This window comes from Homo sapiens, chromosome 14, assembly GCF_000001405.40.
Source record: "Homo sapiens chromosome 14, GRCh38.p14 Primary Assembly".
Lineage (NCBI taxonomy): Eukaryota > Metazoa > Chordata > Mammalia > Primates > Hominidae > Homo > Homo sapiens.
In genome coordinates this window covers 74,097,168-74,124,057 of record NC_000014.9, presented here as the reverse complement: position 1 = coordinate 74,124,057, position 26,890 = coordinate 74,097,168, and the positions used below count along the sequence as shown (strand labels likewise).

At 39.5% G+C, this 26,890-nt stretch overlaps 1 protein-coding gene and 1 long non-coding RNA gene across 10 annotated transcripts in view; one reads left to right on the top strand and one right to left on the bottom strand.

Annotated features, from left to right (window-relative positions):
• LIN52 (lin-52 DREAM MuvB core complex component) overlaps positions 1–26,890 on the bottom strand; it is a 116,538-nt gene that overhangs the window by 77,436 nt on the left and 12,212 nt on the right. For 3 of the 9 annotated variants that reach the window (NM_001024674.3, NM_001372006.1, XM_017021764.2), the window contains exons 4-5: positions 26,198–26,264; positions 22,820–22,903 (exon numbers count right to left, since the gene is read on the bottom strand). In NM_001024674.3, the coding sequence (NP_001019845.2) occupies positions 22,820–22,903; positions 26,198–26,264 (151 nt within the window). Of the gene's footprint in view, positions 1–5,761; positions 10,053–16,830; positions 18,457–21,366; positions 21,714–22,819; positions 22,904–26,197; positions 26,265–26,890 lie in introns of those variants that run through there. The other 6 variants (NM_001372005.1, XM_047431916.1, XM_011537321.4 and 3 more) reach the window with 3 other exon arrangements.
• The window catches only part of LOC105370563 (uncharacterized), a 45,899-nt gene that overhangs the window by 18,504 nt on the left and 505 nt on the right, over positions 1–26,890 (top strand). Inside the window, exon 2 of the long non-coding RNA XR_944024.3 lies at positions 23,851–23,913. This is a non-coding gene — a long non-coding RNA (uncharacterized LOC105370563). The remainder of the gene's footprint in view (positions 1–23,850; positions 23,914–26,890) is intronic.

Here is a 26,890-nt window from a genome sequence, read left to right as displayed (position 1 = left end):
TAAAAATCCATGGCCAAATCCAAGATCATGAAGACTCATACTAAGCATTTTATAATCATCATCCAATTTAACTCTCTCAACAGCTCATTAAGAGGCATTATTATTACCTTAATTTCACAGAAAAGGAAAATGAAACTCAGAGAGAGGTTATTTATCAAGTCAGTAAGTAGAACAGATCTACTTCCAATAACCAGGATCTCTGAAATCCCAGGCTAGTTTTCTTTATACTCACATGGCAATGTGCTTCTCTGGGGGATGAAGGGGAGAACAGAAGCCATGGTCTTTTGGTAACTTAATCTCAGAAGTGGGATTCCATCACTTTTACTATCATTAGGTCCAGCCCACCCTCAAGAGATGATTAAACAAGGGCACACTAGTAGCAGGGATCACTGGGGACCGTCTTAGAGGGTGCCTACCACACCACGGTTCTATATTTAATGCTACACATCCTCCTGGCTTCTCTCATCTATGGCTTTAAATAAAACCTATGGATCAAGGATCCAAATTCCCTGTGCTCTAGTATCTATTCAATTGTCTCCTAGGTATTTATTTCCACCTAGATAGCCTACAGATACACTTATAAATGAACTCCCAAATCTTTCTTCTCAAAGGTCTTCTTCTTCCTATATACACCTAAGCTAGAAACCTAAGAATTGTTCTTGGTTCCTCATTCTTACTGCCCAGGACTTCCCAATCCCAATATATCCAATCAGTCACTAAAACTTTCCATTCTCCTACTAGGATTTATAGAACCCATCCTTTATGCTCCAGTAATATTTCTACTGTCTTAGTTCAAGGGCTTACCATTGTAGTCTAGTTTACTAAAGTAATCTAACTCATCTCCCTGTTGCTATTTTCATTCCTCACCAATCTACCTTCTACCATGTTAGCAAAGTGACCTAAGAATGTAAATATGATCAGATGTCTACCATGCTTAAAATTTCTCATATGCTGCTCATAAGAGTAACAACAGTTAATAGTTTTTAAGAACTTATTAAGATCCAGACAGTGAGCTAAGAGTTTTATAAATAAGGCTGTATCAAATCATCAAAATAATACTCTAAGGCAACAAATCTCAAAGTGTGGTCAGGGAACACCTGCAGATCCTGGGCTCGCCATACTTCTTTTGGGGGTCCACTAGGTCAAAACTGGTTTTTGTTTTTGTTTTTGTTTGTTTGTTTTGTTTTTTTGAGACAGAGTCTCACTCTGTCACCCAGGCTGGAGTGCCGTAGCACATGATCTTGGCTCACTGCAACCTCTGCCTCCCAGGTTCAAGCAATTCTCCTGCCTCAGCCTCCCAAGTATTTGGGATTACAGGTGCCTGCCACCATACCCAGCTAATTTTTATATTTTTAGTAGAGACAGGGTTTCACCATGTTGGTCAGGCTGATCTCAAACTCCTGACCTCAAGTGATCTGCCCATCTTGGCCTCCCAAAGTACTGGGATTACAGGTGTGAGCCACTGCACCCGGACAGGTAAAAATTATTTGTATAATACTAAGATGCTCTTTTCACTCATACTCTCACAAGTGTCCAGTGAAATTTTCTAGAGCCTAAAATATCCTAACATATTTTAAATAAAATAGAAACAAAGAATACTACAATGAATAATCATATACTCTTCACCTGCTCACCAACTGTTAACATTACACACTTGCTTCATCTATTTATATTTTTAAATTTTGTTGTTTTATTCCTGAGCTATCTGAGAGCTAGCTGCAGACACCATGATAGTTCATCCCTAAATACTTCAGCATTGTCTCCTAAGAACAAGGATATTCTCCTACATAGCTACAATATAATTAACAAACTCAAAAAATTTAACACAATACAATTATCTGATTTTCAATCCATAATAAAATATCTCCAATTTGAACATAAGTTTTAAATTTTACTACAGTTCCGTTTAGCAATATTCTCCTTTTTGGTTAATGACACTCCTGTTCTTTTAATTTGGGTTATAATAATGTCAAAGCTGTAGCATCTCAGAAATAAAATACTACATTACTAGTGTGAATTCTTTTCTTCCTCAACCTCTTCTCATGGGAATATGAGAATATTGTTACTGGTTACATGATAAACAAAAATTCCAGTGGAGAAAGTGAAGGTGTGTTTGAGACCAGCCTGTCCAACATGGTGAAACCCCGTCTCCACTAAAAATCCAAAAATTAGCCACGCGTGGTGTGCGCGCCTGTAATCCCAGCTATTCGGGAGGCTGAGGCAGGATAATCACTTGAACCCGGGAGGCAGAGGTTCCAGTGAGTTGAGATGGCGCCACTGCACCCCAGCCTGGGTGACGGAGTGAGACTCCGTCTTAAAAAAAAAAAAAAAAGAAAGTGAAGGTGTGTTTTCCTCTTTCCTTAACTCACTGTTTTCTTGATTTGATGTGTAAGTTTTCTGACAAACTTGTTGAGTGATATATTTTTTAATGTATTACCATCATTATTTGAAAATTTTTGGAAAACCACTTTCCTGGAAAAACCAAAGCATCTTTAACTATTTTCTTTAACTATTTGCTAACTAACTTCGGCACTATGTGATAAAAGCATTTGCAATAATGACTTCACTATTCAGTTGATGCATTAAAGTATCTTAGAATTGGAAAGGAACGAATAAGGAAAATGTTAGTCTCACATTAGTCATTAAAACTTGCATCACTTACTTATGAAATCAATAGATGAAATCTGTTTGTTACATGCATGAAAATCATTATGGCTAGTGGTATAAGAAATATAGAGTAAATCAATAATATAGAATGGAAACAGCAGATCTAAGCAATGGAGAATTGCTGAATAGAGAAAAGTTGTTTGGGTGGGGACAGGGAAACCTCTGGGAATTATATGGGAGCCACTGATTTCTGTTGGGTTATAATGATTTAGGTCAATGCTCTGCTGATAGAATTTACAACTTGACTCCAAGGGGAAAATCTACTGTGTATAGTTTATTTTTAGAAATACTTGTGCCTACTACATGGTTTTTTTTGGAATAGTTTTAAGCTTTTTTTCTTTCTTTGAGACAGAGTCTCCCTGTGTTACCTAGGCTGGACTCAAACTTCTGGGCTCAAATGATCCTCCCACCTCAGCATCCAGAGTAGCTGAAACTACAGGTGCATACCACTGAGCCTGGCTTGAAACTTTTTTTTTTCTTGAGACAGAGTCTCGCTCTGTTGCCCAGGCTGGAATGCAGTGGCTCACTGCAACCTCCTCCTCCTGGGTTCAAGTGATTCTCCTGTCTCAGCCTCCTGAGTAGCTGGGACTACAGGCGCACGCCACCAAGCCCAGCTAATTTTTTTTTTTTTTTTTTGAGAGGGAGTCTCACTCTGTTGCCCAGGCTGGAGTGCAATGGCACGATCTCGGCTCACTGAAACCTCCGCCTCCCAGGTTCAAGCGATTCTCCTGCCTCAACCTCCCGAGTAGCTGGGATTACAGGCACCCACCACCAAGCCCGGCTAATTTTTGTATTTTTAGTAGAGACGGGGTTTCACAATGCTGGCCAGGATGGTCTCGAACTCCTGACCTCAGGTGATCTGCCCACCTCGGCCTCCCAAAGTGCTGGGATTACAGGTGTGAGCTACCACGCCTGGCCTACTTTTTGTATTTTTAGTAGAGACAGTGTTTCACCATATTGGTCAGGCTGGTCTCGAACTCTTGACCTTAGGTGATCCACCGGCCTTGGCCTCCCGAAGTGCTGGGATTACAGGTATGAGCCACTGCGCCTGGCCAAAACTTTTTTAAAGATTTCAAATTTCAACAAATAAAAAGTTGGGGGAAAAAACTCTTTGGTTCATTAAAACATACCATTAAGAAAATTAAAAGGGAAGCTACAAAGTGGAATATTTGCAATTTATGTGACTGACAAAGGGTGGATATCCAGAATATATAAACAGTACTTACAAATCATTTTTTTAAAGACTGATAATCCAAGCCAGGCTCAGTGGCTCATGTCTGTAATCCCAGCACTTTGGGAGGCCGAGGCAGGCGGATCACCCGAGGTCATGAGTTTGAGACCAGCCTGGCCAACATGGTGAAACTCCATCTTTACTAAAAATACAAAAATTAGGCACACGTGGTAGCGTGCACCTGTAATTCCAGCTACTTGGGAGGCTGAGGCAGGAGAATCGCTTGAACCCAGGAGGTAGACATTGCAGTGAGCTGAGATCGTGCCATTGCACTCCAGCCTGGGCGACAAGAGTGAAACTCCATCTAAAAAAAAAAAAAAAAAGAATAATCCAGTAATCCAGTTTTTAAAGATGGGCAATGGGCAAGAGACACTAATAAGGACTTCACAAAAGATGTTATCCAAATGGCCAATAAACATACAAAAAGGTGCTCAACCTCATTAGTCATTAAGGAAATGCAAATTAAAACCACATTAAGATACCATTTATTAGAACGACTAGAAGTTAAAAGACTGAGAATACACCTGTTGGTAAGGACTTGGAGCAACTGAAATTGCTGATAGGTTTGTAAATTGATATAACCACTTTGGAAAACTATTAATATTTGGAAGTACCTACTAAAGCTAAATATACATATACCCCTATGATCTAGCAATTCCACTTCCTAGTTATATATCCAATGAAAATGCATGTACGGCCCAGGTGCGGCGGCTCATGCCTGTAATCCCAGCATTTTGGGAGGCCAAGGCGGGCGGATCACGAGGTCAGGAGATCGAGACCATCCTAGCTAACACAGTGAAACCCTGTCTCTACTAAAAATACAAAAAAAATTAGCTGGGCGTGGTGGGGGGGCGCCTGTAGTCCTAGCTATTCGGGAGGCTGAGGCAGGAGAATGGCATGAACCCAGGAGGCGGAGCTTGCAGTGAGCCAAGATGGTGCCACTGCACTCCAGCCTGGGCAACAGAGCAAGACTCTGTCTCAAAAAAAAAAAAAAAAAAAGAAAGAAAATCCATGTACCAAAAAAAGATATATATCAAAAATACTAACAGTATTTATTTGTAATAACCAAAAGCTGGAAATAGTCCAAATATCCATCATTAGTAGAACGAGGAAATAAATTGTGGTAACTTCTTACAATGAAATACTATATAGCAATGGGAGAAAACCCAAATGATATGGCCGATGTCATAATTTAAACGCTGATCAAAAGTCAGACACAAAAGAGTATGTGATTTGTTATTCCATTTACATAAAGTTCAAAGATAAACAAAATTATTCTATGATAGTATAAGTCACAGTAATGCTTTGAGAGGAAGGGGCAAGTAGGGACTAGAAGGGGCACAAAGGAGATTTTGTATTTATGTACTAGAAAGGTGTTTTGTTTTGAGATAGGGTCTCACTCCTGTCACCCAGGCTGGAGTACAATGGTGTGATCTTGGTTCACTCCAGCCTTGACTTCCCAGGTTCAGGTGATCCTCCCACCTCAGCCTCCCAAGTAGCTGGGACTACAGGTGTACACCAGCAGGCCCGGCTAATTTTTGTATTTTTTGTAGACACTGGATTTTATCATGTTGCCCAGGCTGGTCTGGAATTCCTGAGCTCAAGTGATCTGCCAGCCTCAGCCTCCCAAAGTGCTGGGATCACAGGCATGAGCCACAGCACCAGGCGCAACGTTCTGTATCTTGATCTGTTTTGACCAACGGTTACAGGGGAGTGTTAATTTTATGAAAATCATTGAGTTGTACATTATAATTTGTGTGCTTTTCTTTATATACATTATACTTCAATGTTAAAGCTTATTAAAGAACAAAAAATGATGGGACAGTAGAATATTTTTATATTCTGAATCAGATTGAATTCTCATTTTAGCTCTTTCCTCTTTTTATTTACTTATTTTTTGACACAGGGTCTCACTCTGTCATCCAGACTGGAACGCAGTGGCATGATCATAGCTCACTGCAGTCTCAAACTCCTGGGCTCAGGTGATCCTCCCACCTCAGCCTCCCCAGTAGTTGGAACTACAGGAATTTTCAGCTTGTCCGGCTCTCTTTTCTCTTTTCATTCAATATCCAAAACTTCAACCTATCAGATTCAACTCTCCATTGAAAGGACGTCTTTACCGTTATCCAACCATTCAGTCTTAAACGTGTCCTCCTACAATAGAGTCAGTCAAATACAACTACACCTGAGAAAACAAATCATTACTTCTATTTTATTTTTCAAATTTTTTTTGGTTATACCAAACCGAAAAGTAACAAGCTTTTAGTTTAGACTTAACAGTTAGAGATACTTCTCTTATACATATGCCAAAGTCATTATTTCTCCAGATTTCCTGTGACAAAGTATTTTGTGATCATTTATAAATTCCCATGCATTATCGCTACCTTCCAGATCATATTATCAACACAAACCAGTGGAAAGTACCAGAAAGAAATAAAGAAACGGGCACTACATTTGAAATACAAAAACACTCCTTATTTTGTTGAAATTTCTAGAACATCAATAACTAAAAAACAAACGAAAGCAGAAAAATGCCAATTTATTTCCCCATGGGCAGAAACAGTCATTCTTAAACCCAAAGCCTGGAAAGAAACTGAACTCCTATGAACACTTTTGTAATCACTTTAGTTCTCATCACCTCTTTGTTATACAAAAACTACTTTCAAAGCCCCCCCGCCAAAAAAAAGAAATCCAGGTCCATTTCACCTCTCAGCCAAACAGCTGCAGTTCTATTTAAGATTGACAGACATTCCAAATGGTTCTTTGCTCCTACTGAGTACTTAATACCAAGAGTTCACAGTTCTCCAACTACAGTGAAGACAGCCCGAAAACATAAAGTAACATCTTGGCCAACATTTGCTTAAGAAAATATGCTTCTTTGGCCAACTAAATCGTCTCTTGCCCATGACCCAACAGCCTACCATTTCTTTTGCTCTCAATTCCTACTTATGCAAGCACATCCTGAGTATGGGAAATGAGATATGTATGGGAAACATTCACCTTGCTATTTATCACTTGTATAAACTGATCAATTGTTAATGGATCTACTCATTTTTATTTAGAAACAGTCCACAGAAGAGCTCAAAAATTTAACTGCCTAGAAAATTCAGAGATTTAAGTACAATTTTGTTTCTAAAATGGCATACAACTTTTCCTTATTTTTTTAAGTAGTATTTTTTTCCTATTCAACAGACTAGAATGTGTTTTTGTTAATTTGGAAAATTCAGAAAATTTTAAAAACCACTCAAGATAGTCATTAAAACATACTGGTGTATTTCCTTCCAGCCATTTGTCTATGTCCATGCTCTCAAAAGAAAAAAAAAAAAAAACACCTGCTGTAAAATTGTATGTTCTGCATTTTGTCACTTGCTATTATCCTTATATATAATGAATACCTTTCTGTCATGAAATGCCCTTTAGTGCTTTTTTTCTTTTCTTTTTTTTTTTTTTAGAGACATAGTCTTACTCTGTCACCCAGGCTGGAGTGCAGTGGCACAATCTTGGCAGCTCACTGCAAGCTCCACCTCCCAGGTTCAAGTGATTCTCCTGCTTCAGCCTCCAGAGTAGCTGGGATTACAGGTGTCCACCACTACGAGTGACTAATTTTTGTATTTTTAGTAGAGACGGGGTTTCACCAGCTTGGCCAGGCTGGTCTCGAACTCCTGATCTCAAATGATCCGCCTACCTCAGCCTCTCAAAGTGCTGGGATTACAGGCGTAAGCCACAGTGGCCAGCCCCTTTAATGTTTTTTAATGACCACATTGTATTCTACTGTATGGGTAACACTATAATTCACCTGGTATTTCCCAAATGTTGAACTTTGTTTTATTATGTATTTTTTTTATTTTTTATTTTTTGAGACAGAGTCTCACTCTGTTGCCCAGGCTGGAGTGCAGTGGCTTAATCTTGGCCCACTACAACCTCCACCTCCTGTGTTCAAGCGATTCTCATGCCTCAGTCTCCCCAGTAGCTGAGACCACAGGCATGTGCCACCACACCCGGTTAATTTTTGTATTTTTAGTAGAGACAGGGTTTCACCATGTTGGCCAGGGTGGTCTCAAACTCCCAATCTCAGGTGATCTGCCCACCTTGGCCTCCCAAAGTGCTGGGATTATGGCATGAGCCACCATGCCTGGCCCATTTTCTTATTTATCACACTTTCTGCAGAATTACATGGAATGCTACTTTGAAACCAACACCATCCAAATTAATTTATACTCTGCCTACTCTCCAACCCCCTTCCCCTACAAAAAATCAGAAGAGAATGAAACACCACAAGCATTTTATGGTAAAATCCTCTTTGTGTGTAAAGCCATTTCAGAGGCAATGTTGGGTTTATGAAATAACTTGACTAACGGATAAAAGATTTGAATGTTTACAAGCCTTAAAGGTAATTTGAAGATTTGTATATCCTAATTTGTTAACCAAGGGAAAAATGAGAAATAATGGCATGGTTTACTTCACATTATCATAAAACATTTCAAAAAATAAAATACTTAAGGCTAAATTGACAATTTCTAATTAAGAATAACCATGATCCCTTCAAAGTGGAGTTCCTAGATTTTATGCTGTAACCTAAATAGGTGCAAAGCTAATGACTATGGCAAGATGGTAAAGTAATGCATAAAACAAAGAAAACAAGGATAAGTTTCCATCAGTATTTGCAATGCAGATTTCAACACAGTCTTTGGGGTGCTTTTCAATCAAGTTCTCTGGCTTTATTTTTCAGGTTAAAATAATTTAAATTTATACTTTCTTGAACTTCCAGCCCTCATCAACAGATAGGATCAAGAAACATGGAAAAAAAAAGTTCGCCTTCACAATAGAAGAAATGAACATTAGAACAAGACAATATTTTGCCTATCAAGTTGGCAATGACTTTAAATAATTATAATACTTGTTATTAGCAAGGATATGGAGTGGGGAGTACCTTTTTGGAAGATAATTTGGCAATCTGTTTCCCTCTCAATCACTAATTTCCAATTGCATGTAAATTGCAGTCATAATACCTAATGGGAATTATCCCAGTGCTGATATAATCCAATGTCGCTTATTTAAAACATGAGCAACAACAAATATTTTGGACCAATTCCTGTTACTTCAAATTTAAACTTCTGAAACTTTTTTCCAGTTAACAAAGAATTGGATGTCTACTGTATAGAGAGGCCATAACAACTTTTTAAACTTGTAGGAAAGTTCAGGAAAAGTTCATAGGTAGGGAACCGAAAGAAAAAGCACTATTGTGGAAGAAAACCATACAAAAGTCAGTCATTCTACTTAGCAGCCTAATGACCAGCCAAAGAAAATAGGGACTTCACAAGTCAACTTCTGAAGTTATGTACATCCTATTTCACATATTGATTTCTTTGAGATCAAATAACTCACCATTCACTATCTAAAACATTACCTGTTGCCTAGGTAATATGACTGAACTAGATATCTTATTAATAACACTAACCTCTAGCCTCTACAAATGACATTTACTTATTTCTAAGAAAATAAAGATGCCTGCCTACAAAGGAGCAAGTAAAAGAATTATGTGATTTTTGTTGTTGTTGTTGTTGTTAAGCAGGCATCTAGCCTCCTTCTGACTTCCCTGTCATTAATTAGGCTAAAACATCATGGTAAGCTCTAATTTCAGCTTATCCCGTAACATCCCCATCCAGACATTTACCTACTCCTAAAAATTCCAAATCTGAAAAATCTATTGTCAGTGCACTTCTTCCCATTCTCACTGCCATCATCCATTCAAGCTCTCAATCCTTCACCCTGGATTCCCACTGTAACTTCCTGCCTCCTCTCTCTACCATCCTACTCTATCCTGTGCACCAATGCCTCCTAAAGGTGTGTATCTTTCCTATTCAAAAATCTTCAGTGGTAGAACTTTTAATGACACAGGAAAATGCTTAAGATAGAATAAAATTTTTTAAAGCACAAGTTAAAACTACACACACACACACACACACACACACACACACACACACTAATCTCAGTTATATTAAAAAAGCATTTCTGGCCGGGCGCTGTGGCTCACACCTGTAGTCCCAGCTACTTGGGAAGCTGAGGTGGGGGACTTGCTTGAGCCCGGGAGGTAGGGGTTGCAGTGAGCCAAGATCACACCATTGCACTCCAGCCTGGGTGACAGAGGGAGACCCTGTCTCAAAAAAAGAAAAGAAAAGAAAAAAAAAAGAAAAGAAAGAAAAATAGCATTATCTGTGTACATGGTACATGAATGGATGCAAGTATACATATAAACACACACATAGACACATAAAGGGACTAAAAGTGGGGCCAGGAAACACATGAAATGTTAATAGTGGTTATCTCTCAGTGGTAAGGCTATGGTTTGTTGGTGGTTTTCTTTTTTTTACTTTCTTCTTTATTTTTACAATAAAAAAAATTGTAGTAAAATCTCTTTTAGTAAAGGGTCTCCCCAAACCATCTACAACACACACAGTTAATTTGACAGCATTAAGATACTTTTTAAAGAACATTTCACATGCTCCCTACTACCACTGAGAATAACTCCTTGACCCCTGGAGTTCAAGGCCCTCCTCAGTCTGGCCCCTCTATCTCCTTCCTAGTCTTAGTCATTATGAGACCTAACATAACCTGGGGTCTAGATTCAACCACTCGCACCGTTCCTTGAGCAGAGCTGTTGCTTTCAAACTCTTTAACATTCACTCTACCTAGAATATGCTCCCTTTCCATTTCTACCCATCTTTGTGTTCTTTAAGGTTTTCTTTCTTTCCTTCCTTCCTTTTTTTTGAGACAGAGTCTTGCTCTGTTGCCCAGGCTGGAATGCAGTGGCATCATCTCAGTTCACCGCAACCTCTGCCTCCCAGATTCAAGTCATTCTCCTGCCTCAGCATCCCGGGTAGCTGAGATTACAGGCGCCCGCCACCACGCCTGGCTAATTTGTGTATTTTTAGTAGAGGCGGGGTTTCACCATGTTGGCCAGGCTGGTCTCAAACTCCTGGCCTCAGGTGATCACCCAACTCAGCCTTCCAAAGTGCTGGGATTACAGGCGTGAGCCACCGCACCTGGCCAGGTTTATTTCCAATGTTCCAGAAATTGCAAATATTACCATACTCATTTCCCTTGTCTATAACAGACATCACTAATTGCCTTCTCTGAATCTAGGCTCCCTCTCAAAATCTTTCTCAATTCAATGGTCCTAGGCAGGTCTTAACTAAATAAAATGAAGTTTATCTGCCACTCCTGTAGCAATCTAATGCAATTGCCTCTTCTCCCCCATCCATATAGTTCTTTGTACTCTCATAGAGCTTTTCTCCTCTATATTTTTTTAAGAATCATTTACCTTAGTTGTCTTATCTTCCTTTCCTACTAGATTTTAATCTACAAGAGGGCAGTAATTATCTTCCTATCCCCTACATAGCCTTGTATGAAGTAGTCACCCAAACAGTTGCTGAACAGGACACTTCATTCTTTTGTTATTCAAAATGGCTAAATATTTGAAAGCTTTATTTTAAAACAATTAAATTTTTCTTGAAGGACTAATTAGTCCAATGTAGTTTCATCAACTTTAGCTAACATTCCTGTTTAATGTAATAGAGCATTGCCTGATACCACATGAAAACCAACAGAGTCCAAGGATACAAGATAAGTCACTGGTAGGGGAAAGTATTGAGACAAGAGAACTTAACCCATTTTTAGGGTCTTATATGCAGATATAAAAACTATTGAATTAACCACATTTTTAGAATTTTTTTCTACTAAGTGGGAGAATCGCTTGAACCGGAGGCAGAGGTTGCAGTGAGCCGAGATTGTGCTGCTACACTCCAGCCTGGGCAACAGAGGGAAACCCTGTCTCAAAAAAAAATTTAAAAAAAAACAAACAAACAAGGAAATATGTAAAAAAAGATGAAGAGATAAAAAAGAAAAACAAAAAGCTAAAAATAAAAATCAACAAGGTATCAACAAAGCTAGGCAAGTAGTCTGGTAAAAATCACAAGAAGGGGCCAGGTGCTGTGGCTCATGCCTGTAATCCCAGAACTTTGGGAGGCCGAGGTGGGCGGATCACCTGAGTTCAGGAGTTCAAGACCAGCCTGACCAACATGGAGAAACCCCATCTCTACTAAAAATACAAAATTAGCCTGGCGTGGTGGCGTATGCCTGTAATCCCAGTTACTCGGGAGGCTGAGGCAGGAGAATAGCTTGAACCACGGAGGCGGAGGTTGCGGTGAGCTGAGATCACGCCATTGCACTCCAGCCTGGGCGACAAGAGCGAAACTCCATCTCAAAACAAAAAAAAAGAAAAAAAGAAAAAAAATCACAACAAGTTTTTACATAGATCAAAAATCCAGTTCAAGAGATGTGGGTAGTCTTTCTGTTAGTGGTACAGAAAGACTCATGCTGCCATCTAGAGGTTAAAGGCTAGATGATTTTTCTCCTCAGTCAAGGACTATTAATTTAGTTCTATGAGAGGTAGGACTTAATTGGCCTAATAAGGGAAGCCAGACAAATAATTCTGATGTCAGCCCACAAAAATAAATAAATAAATAAATAAATAAATAAATAAATAAATAAATACCAGGGGCAGGGCATGGTGGCTCACACCTATAATCCCAGTGCTTTGGGAGGCTGAGGCGGGAGGATTGCTTGAGCCTAGGAGGATGTGGCCAGCCTGGGCAACACAGGGAGACCCCATCTCTACAAAATAAAAATTAAAAAAAAAAAAAAATCAGTCAGGCATGGTGGCACTGTCCTGTGGTTCCAGCTACTCGAGAGGCTGGGCTGGGAGGATTGCTTGAACCTGGGAGGTCAAGGCTGCAGTGAGCTATGACTGCACCACCGCACTCTAGCCTGGGCAACAGAGACCCTGTCTCCAAAAAAACAAAAAGGTGTAAGAATCACAGTTATACTCTCCCTTCCCTCCTTTATATATTAAAATTACAAATCAAAAGAACTGTTTAGAATTTTATCTAGATGGGAAACAACTTCTAAATGTAAATGATCACTTTTTTGCAAATCACATGCCCAGAGGGTGGAGAAGTCTAGTACCACAGGCTAGTGCTGTGGAAACTTCTGCTTCTTGAAAGCAGTTTTTCTTAGTTACTACCATCAAATAAAGTACCAAATAGTAAAGTTGTATAGATAACTTCATCAATGTAGATTAATGGGATAAAGTATTAAGTTTTGAATGGAGACATCTTAATCTTTTTTTTTTTTTTGAGACGGAGTCTCGCTCTGTCACCCAGGCTGGAGTGCAGTGGCGCGATCTCGGCTCACTGCAAGCTCCACCTCCCAGGTTCATGCCATTCTCCTGCCTCAGCCTCCCAAGTTGCTGGGACTACAGGTGCCCACCACCACGCCCGGCTAACTTTTTTTGTATTTTTAGTAGAGACGGGGTTTCACTGTGTTAGCCAGGATGGTCTCGATCTCCTGACCTCGTGATCTGCCTGCCTTGGCATCCCAAAGTGCTGGGATTGCAGGCGTGAGGCACCATGCCTGGCCTCCTTTTTTTTTTGAGATGGAGTCTCGCTCTGTCACCCAGGCTGGAGTGCAGTGGCATAATCTCGGCTCACTGCAACCTCTGCCTCCCAGGTTCAAGCGATTCTCCTGCCTCAGCCTCCTGAGTACCTGGGACTATGGGCGTGCGCCACCATGCCCAGCTAATTTTTGTAGAGACAAGGTTTTACCATGTTGGCCAGGCTGGTCTCAAACTCCTGACCTCAGGTTATCTGCCCACCTCAGCCTCCCAAAGTGCTAGGATTACAAGCGTGAGCCACCACACTGGCCTTAATCTTTTTCTTTTAGAGATGGGGTCTTTCTTTTAGAGAATGGAGTCTTCGTTTTGTTGCCCAGGCTGGTTACAAACACTTGGCTTCAAGCAATCATCCCCGCTTGGCATCCCTCTCAATCTTTTTACAGTGAAATGTTGCTTTTAAAAAACAACAGTGATAAAATTTAGCCAAATAACAGTCCCATTAAACTGCTACATGAACGTACAGAATTATATGATTAATCAGCAGAAGCAACTACTTATATCAAAGTAAGCTAAATTCCTCAAAGCTTTTTTAGAAGGTAATATATTCAGTGTTACCTTATTTACATTAAAGCACATCTACAAAAAGCCCACAGCTAACACTGTGGGTTTCTCCCAAAGATCAGGAAAAGTCAAGGATGTCCACTCCTGCCACGTCTATTCAACACTGTACTGGGATTTCTAGCCAGGACAATTAGGAAAAAGAATTAATTTAAAGGCAGTCAGAATGGAAATGAAGAAGTAAAACTGTCTCTCTTTGCAAATGACAATTCTGTATATGGAAAATTATAAATAATCTACTAAAACATTATTAGAACTAAAGAAATAAGTTCAACGAAGTTGCAGAATACAGGATCAATATACAAAAATTAATTCTATTTCTCAGTAGTAGCAATGAGCAAACTGAAAATGAAATTAAGACAACAATTCCATTTATAATAGCATCAAAAAGAATAAAGTACTTAGGAAAAAATTTAACAAATGAAGTATAATATTTGTGCTTTGAAAATTGCAAAACATTGTTGATGTTGGAAAGCTCACACATCCCAATTTCAAAATTTACTACAAAGCTACAGTAAGCAAGAAAGTGAATTACTGGCATAAGGATAGAGATTACATCAATGGAATAGAATGAGAGTCTAGAAATAAACCTTCACATTTACGGCCAACCAATTTTTTTTGTTTTGAGGCAGGGTCTCTCTCTATAGCCCAGGCTGGAGTGCAGAGGTGTGATCATGGTTCACTGAAGCCTCAACCTCCCAGGCTCAGCCTCCTGAGTAGGTGAGACTATGGGTGCACATCACCATGTATGGCTAATTTTTAATCTTTTTGTAGAGATGGAGTCTCACTTTGTTGCCCAGGCTTGTCTCAAACTCCTGGGCTCAAGCAATTCTCCCACCTTGGCCTCCCAAAGTGCTGGGATTACAGGTGTGAGCCACCATGCCTGGCTGCCAACTGATTTTTTACAAGGATGTCAAGACAATTCAATAGAAAAAGGATAGTCTTTTCAACAAACGATGCTAAGAAAACTGGATATCCACATGCGAAAGAATTAATTTAGATCCCTATCTCACACCAAATATAAAAATTAACTTAAAATGAATCAAAGACCTAAATCTAAAATTATAAAACTCTTAAAAGAAAACACAGGCATAAGTTTTTGAGAACCTGGATTAGGCAATGGTTTATCAGGTAGGACACTAAAACACAAGCAACAACAAAATAGATAAATTGGATTTCATCAAAATTTAAAGCTTTGTGATTCAAAGGACACCATTAAGAAAGTAAAAAGACAACCCATAGAATGAGAGAAAACTTTTGCAAGTCATATATCTGATAATGTCATATATGTGATAATAACATATATATGTTTCTAGAATATATAATGAAGTCTTACAATTCAATAATAAAAACACAAACAATACAATTTACAAATAAGCAAAGGATCTGAATTGATAGTTCTCCAAAGAAGATATATAATAAGCACATGAAAACATGCTAAACACCATTATTACTAGACAAATGCAAATCCAAACCACAATGAGACACTACTTCATACCCTCTATGATGGACATGATAATAATTAAAAAAACAAAAAATACAAATAACAAGTATTGGCAAGGGTGTGAGAAAACTGGAACCCTTATACACTGCTTGTGGGAATGCAAAATGGTTCAGCTAGTTTGGAAAACAGTCTGACAGTTCCTCAATAGATCAGATATAGAGTTACCACATGACCCAGGAATTCCACCTCTAGCTATAAACCTAAGAAAATGAAAACATGTTTACCCAAAAAGTTGTGTGTTTTGGTTGAACCTGAATGTTCACAGCAGCATTATTTGAAGTAGCCAAGTAGTGAAAACAACTCAAACGCCCATCACCAGGTAGATAAATACAATGTGGCGTATCTATACAATGGAATATTATTCAGCCATAAAAAGAAAGAAAGCACTGATACATGCTATAGCATAATTGAACACTGAAAACATTATCTTAACAGAAAGAATCCAGTCACAAGAAACCACATATTATATGATTTCATTTACAAGCAATGTCCAGACGAGGCAAATCCATAGAGACATGAAGCCAGTAAGTAACAGCCTAGGTCTGGGGAGTTTGGGAAGTAATGGGGAGTGACTGCTAATGGGTGCAAGGTTTTTCAGGTGATGAAAATGTTGTAAAATTGGTTGTGGTGGTGACTGCAAAATTCTGAATATACAAAAATCACTGAATTGCACACTATAAATGGGGAATTATAGACTATGTGAATTACATCTCAATAAAGCTGTTACCCAAAAAAAAGAGAAAAAAACCAAATGTATCAGGGTCCCAAGGTTTAGCCGTAGTTTCAAATGATACAATCCTCTGCTTTCCCAGTTTTCACATTTTATTTAAAAATATTTCAAAGATAGCTAGTAAGTAGGTCATTTGCATGACTACTAACTGGTCTGTGGTCTTCAGAGATGGGGAAAAAAATCTATGGGCTATGGGCTGAAAAAGTAAAAATATGATTCTTATCTTAAAAAGTTACAATCAGTCCAAGGACTGAGACATGTACCAAAAATCTCCAAGAAGAATGGTAAAAGCACCTTACAAATCAAACAAACAAACTGCTCTAGGGGCAATTTGAGAGGCCAGAGAGAGCACTCACTTTCTAAATCAAGGATGAAAAGGGAAAGCTGATAGAAGGACAGCTTACCGAGAAAAAGGAATAGCATGAGTAGAACTAAGAAGATGGGGAAGTATTCCAGAAAGAGAGGGTAAAAACTGCTGAGAACTAGTATTCAATAGGATTCATGATAATGAACCTTAGGAATAAAGGAAGCAATGTAGTATTGAAACTTACAGGTCTAAATCAGGATCATAAGCATGTAATAATAGTGATGGAGTAGGGTTCAAGTAGAAGATAAACCAAGCGATCATCAACAAGTTTCACACTGTATTTATTCTGTGCTGTTGACCATCCACTGTCATAAGAGAAGACATTCCAGAAATAAGACCTTCAAATATTACGTCTCATCACTAAAACACCAACTACCCAGAAAAAGAACAATTTCCCGAAGCTTCAGACAGAGACAGTGCATGTGTTTTGGTAGAGGAGATGTAAGAAGGCTAGAGTAATCCGGCGAGGGTCAGAATGCAAAGGATTTTGAATGCCACACTAAGGGGCCTAAATTTTATCCTATGGGTAATGAAGTAGTACCAATGATTTATGAGCAAAAGACAAAGAGAAGAAAATGTACTTCAAAAAATCAGGCCGGGGCCGGGCGTGGTGGCTCACACCTGTAATCCCAGCACTTTGGGAGGCCAGGCGGGCAAATCACTTGAGGACAGAAGTTCGAGACCAGCCTGGCCAACATAGTGAAACCCCATCTCTGCTAAAAATATTTTTAAAACGCTGGGCATGGTGGTGCACACCTGTAATCTCAGCTACTTGGACGGCTGAAGCATAAGAATCACTTGAGCCTGGGAGGTGGAGGTTGCAGTGAGCCAAGACTGCACCACTGCATTCCAGCCTGGGAGACAAAGCAAGGCACTGCCTCAAAAAATAAACAAATAAATAAATAATAAATCAGGCTGGGGTAGGCATGGTGGTTCATGTCTGTAATTTCAGCACTTTGGGAGGCCAAGGAGGGAGGACTGGTTGAGCCCAGGAGTTCAAGACCAGTCTGGGCAACATAGTGAGACCTCGTCTCTACAAAATATCAAAAAAATTAGCCAGATATGGTGGCACTGCACCTGTAGTCCCAGCTACTTGGGAGGCTGAGGTGGGAGGATCTCTTGAGCCCAGGAGTTCGAGGCTGCAGTGAGCCATGATAAGGCCATGGCACTCCAGCCTGGATGAGAGACCTTGTCTCAAAAAAACAAACACAAAAACAATGCGGCAGCAGTAACAAGATAGATTGGAATGGGCTAGTTGAGAGGCAGAGGGACCAGCTAGAAGGTGACTGTAACATAGTTCCAGTAAAAGAGGGAGGACTCTGAGCTCAGATGGAAATAATAGAAATGGAATTCTTCATATGCTAAGGCAGAGTTTTACTTTTTTAAATATTTCTATATATTTCAAGGGAATTTCATATAAATTAACTGCCCAAATCAAGCCAAGAGGCCTCAATCATCTGAGAGACTATAAATCCCTATAAGAAAAGTTACTGCATTCCAAAATTTGCACACCAAAAGGGTTATCTGAGGCATAATCATGTACCAATTCAAAGGGTAGCACTCATCTTCCAAAAGACACAACCTAGTTACTATCAGCCCTAGAAGGTTCATATAATTTTTATACTAACATTTAACAATGCTCTTGGGAAGTGACAAACAATCATGTTTTGAGGACAAATATTTTTTGCATTTTTTTTCTTTCCATCATCTTTATCAGTGCAGATATTTGCATAAAAACAGGATCACTGGTCCTTGGGGATTCATCAGTTCCTACTGCTTATTTTTCACCCATGTCATCCTCTCAATTAATGCAGGAAAGAGGATTTAGACATTGAAACACCAGATTAGGGTGTCAAGTAAAAGCCAACCCCTAGAGTAGATGAATAATCTGTAAGGACAAAAAAAAAAAAATCTTGTTTTTAATGCAAATACACTACACACAATAAAACAAAGAGAGACTGTATGTAAGAAGTTCAATACACATCAATGTAATTGTTTCTCATTCTAAATTTTAAAGCTATTTCATGTCAGCTAAATTCACGATGGTCAAGGAAAACGGCAATCAGTTGCAAAGCAATGCTATGGAAATTGAAAGAACACCAAATTTTGAGGTAGAAGATAATTCTGAACAATCTCAGCTGTGCTCATGGGACTCATTTGGCAGAAACAAGCATTTCTCTTATACAGTTTTGGTTTAGTGCTGAAGGTGGCCGAATTAAATGACTTCAAACCCCCACCCCCAAAGCCTTAAGTTTTTAGAAATACAGTTAGCAGTAATAATGGCTTTAATTGTGTGGATTTAAAAAAATAACAAATGCCACACCAAGTTTTTGATTCCATTGAAAGTCATTAAAATAAACTTTACTGATGCTTAGGGAACAAACTCATTATTCTGAAAACTAATAAAGAAAGAAAAAGAATCATTTATCCCATCATGCCAGTAGAAGCAGTTTTCGAGGTAACCAAATAGTTGATAAGATACAGTCCTTTTTAGAAAAATTCTAGTCAATGAGAGAAATGACAGAATATTACTACCTTGCAACCTATAATAAAACAGTAAATCTAGACTGTGATCAAAGCCTGCTACTCTAGGTATAAGACTGATGAAGAATATTACAATGAATAAATCTGATTGTCATAGTTCCACCTGCATTTTATTTCCCCATCATTTGTTAAGCCTAGTCATTTGTTCTGTAGATTTTTCAAATTCTGGGTTTTGTTGATTACATTCCTGTGGTAGAGCTTAATTAACATGTTCACCTATCCCTTTTTATTTCCTGATAGTTAGATCTAGAATCCATCAACTATTAATCTTAGTATCACAAAAAGAAAGACCAGCACACATAATGTACCCAACACCAACTGTGAAATATTCTTATCAAAATTAAAAAAAAAAAATCAAGCCTGTATCTGTGCAAGCTTCTAGATCTAACAATCAGCAGATAAAAAAGGGATAGGTGAACATGTTAAGCTCTACCACAGGAATGTAATCAACAAAACCCAGATTTTGAAAAATCTACAGAACAAATGACTAGGTTTAACAAATGACAAGGGGAAATAAAATGCAGGTGGAAGTATGACAGGCTAAAAAAGATTTCAGAGACATATCAAATACAGTATATGAACCTTATTTAGATCCAGACTCAAAAAATGAACTGTATAAAGGCATTTATGAGTCAACTACAGAAATCTAAACCCTGATTGGCTATTTGATGATATTTAACAAGTTTGTTAAAAAAATTGTAGTTATAATAATGAAACTATTGTTATATTTTTAAAAAATAACAGTAGCCAGCTGGGCGCAGTGGCTCACTCCTGTAATCCTGGCACTTTGGGATGCTGAGGCAGGTGGATCACGAGGTCAGGAGATTGAGACCATTCTGGCCAACATGGTGAAACCCCGTCTCTACTAAAAATACAAAAATTAGCCAGGCATGGTGGCATGAGCCTGTAATCTCAGCTACTTGGGAGGCTGAGGCAGGAGAATCGCTTGAACCCAGGAGGCGGAGGTTGCAGTGAGCCAAGATCGCGCCACTGCACTTCAACCTCCAACCTGGCGACAGAGCGAGACTCCGTCTCAAAAAAAAAAAAAAGAAAGAAAAAGCCAGGCACAGTGGTATGTGCCTGTAGTCTCAGCTACTCAGAAGGCTGAGGTGGGCTGATTGCTTGAGCCCAGGAACTCAAGTCCAGCCTAGGCAACATAGAAAAACCCAGTCTCTTAAAAAAAAAAAAAAAAAAAAAAAAAAAAAAAAAAAACTGGCCAGGCCCGGTGGCTCACACCTGTAATCCCAGCACTTTGGGAGGCGGAGTTGGGCAGATCACCTGAGGTCAGGAGTTCAAGACCAGCCTGACCAACATGGAAAAACCCCATCTCTACTAAAAATACAAAATTAGCTGGGCCTGGTGGCACATGCCTGTAATCCCAGCTACTCAGGAGGCTGAGGCAGGAGAATCGCTTGAACCTGGGAGGTGGAGGTTGCAGTAAGCCAAGATCATGTCATTGCACTCCAGCCTGGGCAACAAGAGCAAAACTCCATCTCAAAAAAAAAAAAAAAAAAAAAATCTTACATTTTGTGCCACTGTTCCTGAAGAGAAAGGAAAAAAAACAATATGTCAGGTGTGGTGGCTCATGCCTGTAATCTCAGCACTTTGGGAGGCCAAGGTGAGCATATTATTTGAGGTAAGGAGTTTGAGACCAGCCTGGCCACCAGGGTGAAACCCCATCTCTACTAAAAATACAAAAATTGGTCAGACATCATGGTGCATGCCTGTAGTCCCCGCTACTTAGGAGGCTGAGGGAGGAAAATCACTTGAACCCAAGAGATGGAGGTTGCCGTGAGCCGAGATTGCACCACTGAACTCCAGCCTGGGCCACAGAGTAAGACTCTGTCTCAAAACAAAACAAAACAAAACAGCAAAAGAAAGTAAGAGTCCTTGTCTTCTGGAAACACATACAAAGTTACTCGGCAATGGGGTAATATGATGCCTGGAATTTGCTTTAAAGTAGCTACAGGAAATTGTTATAAGTAAAACAAGATTGGCTATATGTTGATTACTGAAGCTGGGCCATGGGTCATTATTCCGTTCACTCTACTTTGGTATAAATAATAAAAAGCAGGAAAAAATACTTCATTACCTTTCTCAGTAGGAAAGCAGAAAAAGAGAAACTAATTAGAGGAACCATAATTTCAGCTATAACTATAGATAATACTACTGACAAATCTATTTGGTAATATAGCATCTTCTTGATATAACAAACATAACATTTACTTCATTGAAAAACATTGACACAAAGAGATAAAGCCTTGATCACAATGATCATTACAGCATTTATTATCCAAAGCTAGAAACAAAATCAAGGAACAAAATCGACTATGAAAGTCTCACATTCATGAATTTACTAATCACAGATTTGCCTTTTCATTATAAATCAAGGAGGTCCATGACATACATGGTAACTAGTAATTTTGCCAAGGTATAAACTTTAATCATAAGAAATAAATTACCAGTATATAGAGAAGAGTTAGGTACTAATGAGTGAACTTAGCAGAGCAGCTAACAACCATATCTTGAAGCAGTTTGTTGTTCTCTATTTCTTGATTCCATAACCAATTCAAAAATGTTTTCTTGGTAAAAGAAAGCCAACTGCTGATGACAGTAATAGAAATAAAGGAAGGATAAAGAGGTCTGAGGAAGTGACGACTATCAGTTGAAAATTAGAAATTTTAAATTAATTTTCTTGTTTTTGAGACAGAGTCTTACTCTGTCGCCCAGGCTGGAGTGCAGTGGCATGATCTTGGCTCACTGCAACCTCTGCCTCCCAGGTTCAAGTGATTCTCCATCCTCAGCCTCCCAACTAGCTGGGATTATAGGCATGAGCCACTGTGGCCAGCCTTAAATTTATTTGTAAACTAAAATGCTGGTTGGGTGCGGTGGTTCATAATCCCAGCACTTTGGAAGGCTGAGGCAGGAAGATCACTTAAACCCAAGAGTTCAAGACCAACCTGGGCAATATAGTGAGACTCTGTCTCTACAAAAAAAATTTTTTAATTACCCAGGCACGGTGGTACATGCTTGTAGTCCCAGCTACTTCAGAGGCTAAGGTGGGAGGATCACTTGAGCCCAGGAGTTGAAGATCAGCCTGGGCAACATAGTAAGACTCTGTCTATTTAAAAATGAGATAATAACCTGAAGGGATTTCAATATACTTTTACTGTATAAAGAAAAATCGGCCGGGCGCGGTGGCTCACGCCTGTAATCCCAGCACTTTGGGAGGCCGAGGCGGGCGGATCACGAGGTCAGGAGATCGAGACCATCCCGGCTAAAACGGTGAAACCCCGTCTCTACTAAAAATACAAAAAAAATCAGCCGGGCGTAGTGGCGGGCGCCTGTAGTCCCAGCTACTTGGGAGGCTGAGGCAGGAGAATGGCGTGAACCCGGGAGGCGGAGCTTGCAGTGAGCCGAGATCCCGCCACTGCACTCCAGCCTGGGCGACAGAGCGAGACTCCGTCTCAAAAAAAAAAAAAAAAGAAAAATCATTTGTTACCTAGTAAATCCAGTAATTATTCCACCACACTCCACCATAAAAAGTCAATGAATTAGATTGACTTCTTACCTTCAGAATGCTTCTCTTTTCCCTAATATACTTTCTGAATTATAACTGGAGCTCAGGGTGGAATACCTGAGCTCAGGGTGGAATACACAGCTCAGGGTGGAATACACCCCTGAACAAATGCGATCGGGGTACTCACACTCATCCAGCCCCAGCTGATAGGCTAGGTTCTGTAGGCCTCGAACCTTCTCCATCAAATTAGCCGTGGTGAGACTCCCCAGTTCTGAAACAGAATCATTTATTTCAACATCATTTCTTTCCACTCTTCTCTAGTAGCAACTTCCTTGGGTTGGGAACTCTTGTTATACAAGTTTTCAAGCTTAATTACCACTGAATAAGTAGAAAATGGATCCGTAACTCCTCCCCCAATCTTAAACACACACAAATCAGGGAATTTTCCCACTATTGCAAAATTCCTCAGATAAGCTTACCCACTTAATAAGAAAAGAACTAGCATAAAAACAGAATTAGCTGGGCATGGTAGCACATGCCTTCAGTCCCAGCTACTTGGGAGGCTATGGCAAGAGGATCACTTGAGCCCAGGAGTTCAAGACCAGCCTGGGCAATGATACCTCACCTGTATAAAAATAATGCAAAAATTCAGCCAGGCATGGTGGCTCATGCCTGTAATCCTAGCACTTTGGGAGGCCAAGGCGGGCAGATCACCCGAGGTCAGGGGTTTGAGACCAGCCTGGCCAACCTGGCGAAACCCTGTCTCTACTAAAAATAGAACGATTAGCTGGGTGTGGTGGCAGGCGCCTGTAGTCCCAGCTACTCAGAAGGCTGAAACAGGAGAATCACTTGAACCTAGGAGGCAAAGGTTGCAGACAGCTGAGATTGTACCACTGCACTCCAGCCTAGGCAACAAAGTGAGATTCCTTCTCAAAAAAAAAATATAAATAAAATAAAATTAGCTGGGTATGGTGGTGTATGCCTGTAGTCCCAGCTACTCAGGAGGCTGGGATGGGAGGATCACCAGGAGGTCAAGGCTGTAGTGAGCCATGATGGCACCACTGCACTACAGTCTGGGTGACAGAGTGAGACCTTTTCTCAAATAAAAAAAGAAAAAAATAATAAAGTAACAAATTAAGTGATTCATCCTCAGGAAACATTATTTATAACATTTGTTTGGAATACATCATTAAAATGTAAAACCTTGTCTTTTGATAGCATTAAGAAAGCCTTGAAGACAGATCTGATCTGACAAAATGGACACTGTCTCCACTGTTAATTGTAAGTCCACATTATTTCGACTTATAATAAAGTGGCAACAAAACACTTACTATTCCCCATTTCCCTAAGTTTAGAAAACAAAGACTAAATAAAAATCTAAACTTTCCCTTCAAATCAAATTCCTATAAAAATCTTTAAGTTTACTAAGTAAAAAGACAGCATACTGTTGGAGGTTAGGAGCAAATGGAGTTGGTTAGGTCAGATCTCTTTCACCATCACAGTTACAATTCTGCAATGGCAGTTTCACTGTTGGGTGTTTCTGTGCTTGAGATATTTTGCAGGCCTTGCATTTGATGGATCAGTTGGTACCACCCAGATCAATAAACTGGTTCATCTGATCTTGTGGCCCCCACCCAGGAACTGACTCAGTGCAAGAGGACAGCTTTGACTCCCTGTGATTTCATCTCCAGCCCAATCAATCAGCACTAGCAACTCACTGTCCCCCCAACCCACCAAATTATCCTTAAAAACTCTGATCCCCAAATTCTCGGGGAGACTGAGTAATAAAAAAAACTCCAGTCTCTTGCACACACATACACACACACACACACACACACAAAGACAATACTTAAAAATGTTCTTTCCTGAATTTTTATTTAAATAGCACCCAATTCCTTTTAGGTTTAAGACACAGGTCAGTTTGCATAGAATATAATGCTATGATCCCTCACTAAAAATTTAAAGTTGCCTTAAGAAATACATGCTGATGAGATATTATATAAATGTCTGTTTGAAACATTAGAAGAATGAACCTGAGATGCCCTTGAGACTTAATTTTTCCATGGCAGGAGGAGGGAATCTGCATTTAAGCATTTCATAAAGAACAATGAATTACTTCTAAAATCAAATAAAGGTGTTTTTTTTTAATCTCATTTATCATGCCACAGTCATTATCTACACCTAGCATAAGTAGACTTTCTTGATATGTTCAGCTGTTTAAATACCTCAAGAATCCCAGGTTTTTACCTTAATTTCAGTCTATTACTTCACAATCATCATGAATCTTATCACCAGAAGGATGATAAAATAAATAAAGTAGGGCAAAATCATGGAAAATTAATGTTTTTTAATTTAAATTTCCACTTTGTGATTGAGTTTCAAATCATTTATCAAACAACAATATTCACTACTTATAGTATTCTTTATAGAAGAAATTGATGGGATAAAAAAATAAAAAATAGGTCTTAACCCACTAAGAGGTTGTCATTTAATAGTACTGACAATATATGGCAGTAAATTCTAAATAAGGCACTTGTGTTATAATGGAAAGAGGCTAGACTTAAAAAAGCAGAGTTTACGCGGGGCGTGGTGGCTCACGCCTGTAATCCCAGCACTCTGGGAGGCCGAGGTGGGTGGATCACTGGAGGTCAGGAGTTTGAGACCAGCCTGGCCAACATGGTGAAACCCCATCTCTACTAAAACTACAAAAATTAGCTGGACGTGGTGGGGGATGCCTGTAATTCCAGCTACTCGGGAGGCTGAGGCAGGAGAATCGCTTGAACCCAGGAGGCGGAGGTTGCAGTGAGCCGAGATCGCACCACTGCACTCCAGCCTGGGCAACAAAAGCGAGACTCCGTCTGAAAAAAAAAAAAAACCAGAGTTAAAATTTTTTAACTTTTTTTTTTTTTTGAGATAGAGTCCTGCTCTGTCAGCCAGGCTGGAGTGCAGTGGAACTATTGTTCGCCACAACCTCTGTCTTCTAGGTTCAAGTGATTCTCCTGACTCAGCCTCCAGAGTAGCTGGGATTACAGGAGCTTGCCACCATGCCTGGTTGATTTTTGTATTTTTAGTAGAGACGTGGTTTCGTTATATTGGTCAGTCTGGTCTCAAACTCCTGACCTCCAGTGATCCACCCACCTCGGCCTCCCAAAATGCTAAGATTACAGACATGAGCCACGCCTAGCCAAATTTTAACTCATTCTATCTTGGTTAACTTATGAACTTTGAATATCATCATACCCAACTCACAGGACCTTTATGGGAATTAAATGAAAAAATTTATGTTAGAGCTATTCGTTAACTGTATTATACAAAATCAGGTTCACATTAGAAGAATTTAGCACCAGCAGCAGAATTCACTATGACTGAGTCTTGAATTGGCAGGATTTCTACACATGGAAAAGGTAGAGAAGGGCATTGCAGACATGAAAAACTACAAATAAGGAGGTTTAAATGAGAAGTCTGAAGCCAAAAATACTTGTAAGGAAACAGAAAAAAAAAATAGAGAGGTGGTCTATGGAAAAACATAAATATCCAGTTAAAAGTGGTAACTAGCATCACTTACCTTTCAACATGTCGATGTCATCACGTTCTATCTCAGCCATCCATTTGGGTGGAGAACTAGTAATAGGCTGTCAAAAAATAATATATCCATTCAGACACATAAAAAGTGTGAGGAGACCCTATTATTCTTATAAGAAGTGTAGCCTGGGCCGGATGCGGTGGCTGCCAAGGTGGGCGGATTACTTGAGGTCAGGAGTCAGGAGTTCGAGACCCGCCTGGCCAACATGGGGAAACCCCATCTCTACTAAAAATACAAAAAAAATTAGCCAGGCGTGATGGCACACACCTGTAATCTCAGCTACTTGGGAGGGTGAGGCACGAGAATTGCTTGAACCTCTTGAATGTGGGAGGCAGAGGTTGCAGTGAACCAAGATTGTGCCACTGTACTCCAGCCTGGGTAAGAGTATTACTCTGTCTCAAAAAAAAAAAAAAAAAAGAAAAAGAAAAAATGCAGCTTGTCACATAGCCTTCAGGTTGTTTGGAAATACTGGCAGATTATAATTTCAAAAACCTGGATTTCTCCAGGTTTAGATATGGCCTACAAATAGTCACTGCAAAAAACATGGCTCATCTTGAAAGTCAGTCTCAGAGAAATCACTGTGGAAGAATAGGTATGACCACTATTACTGATTTATGCCTAACAAGTTAGTATAGCAATGAATGAAATTACTTGAAATTCAGTTCTGGTGAAAGC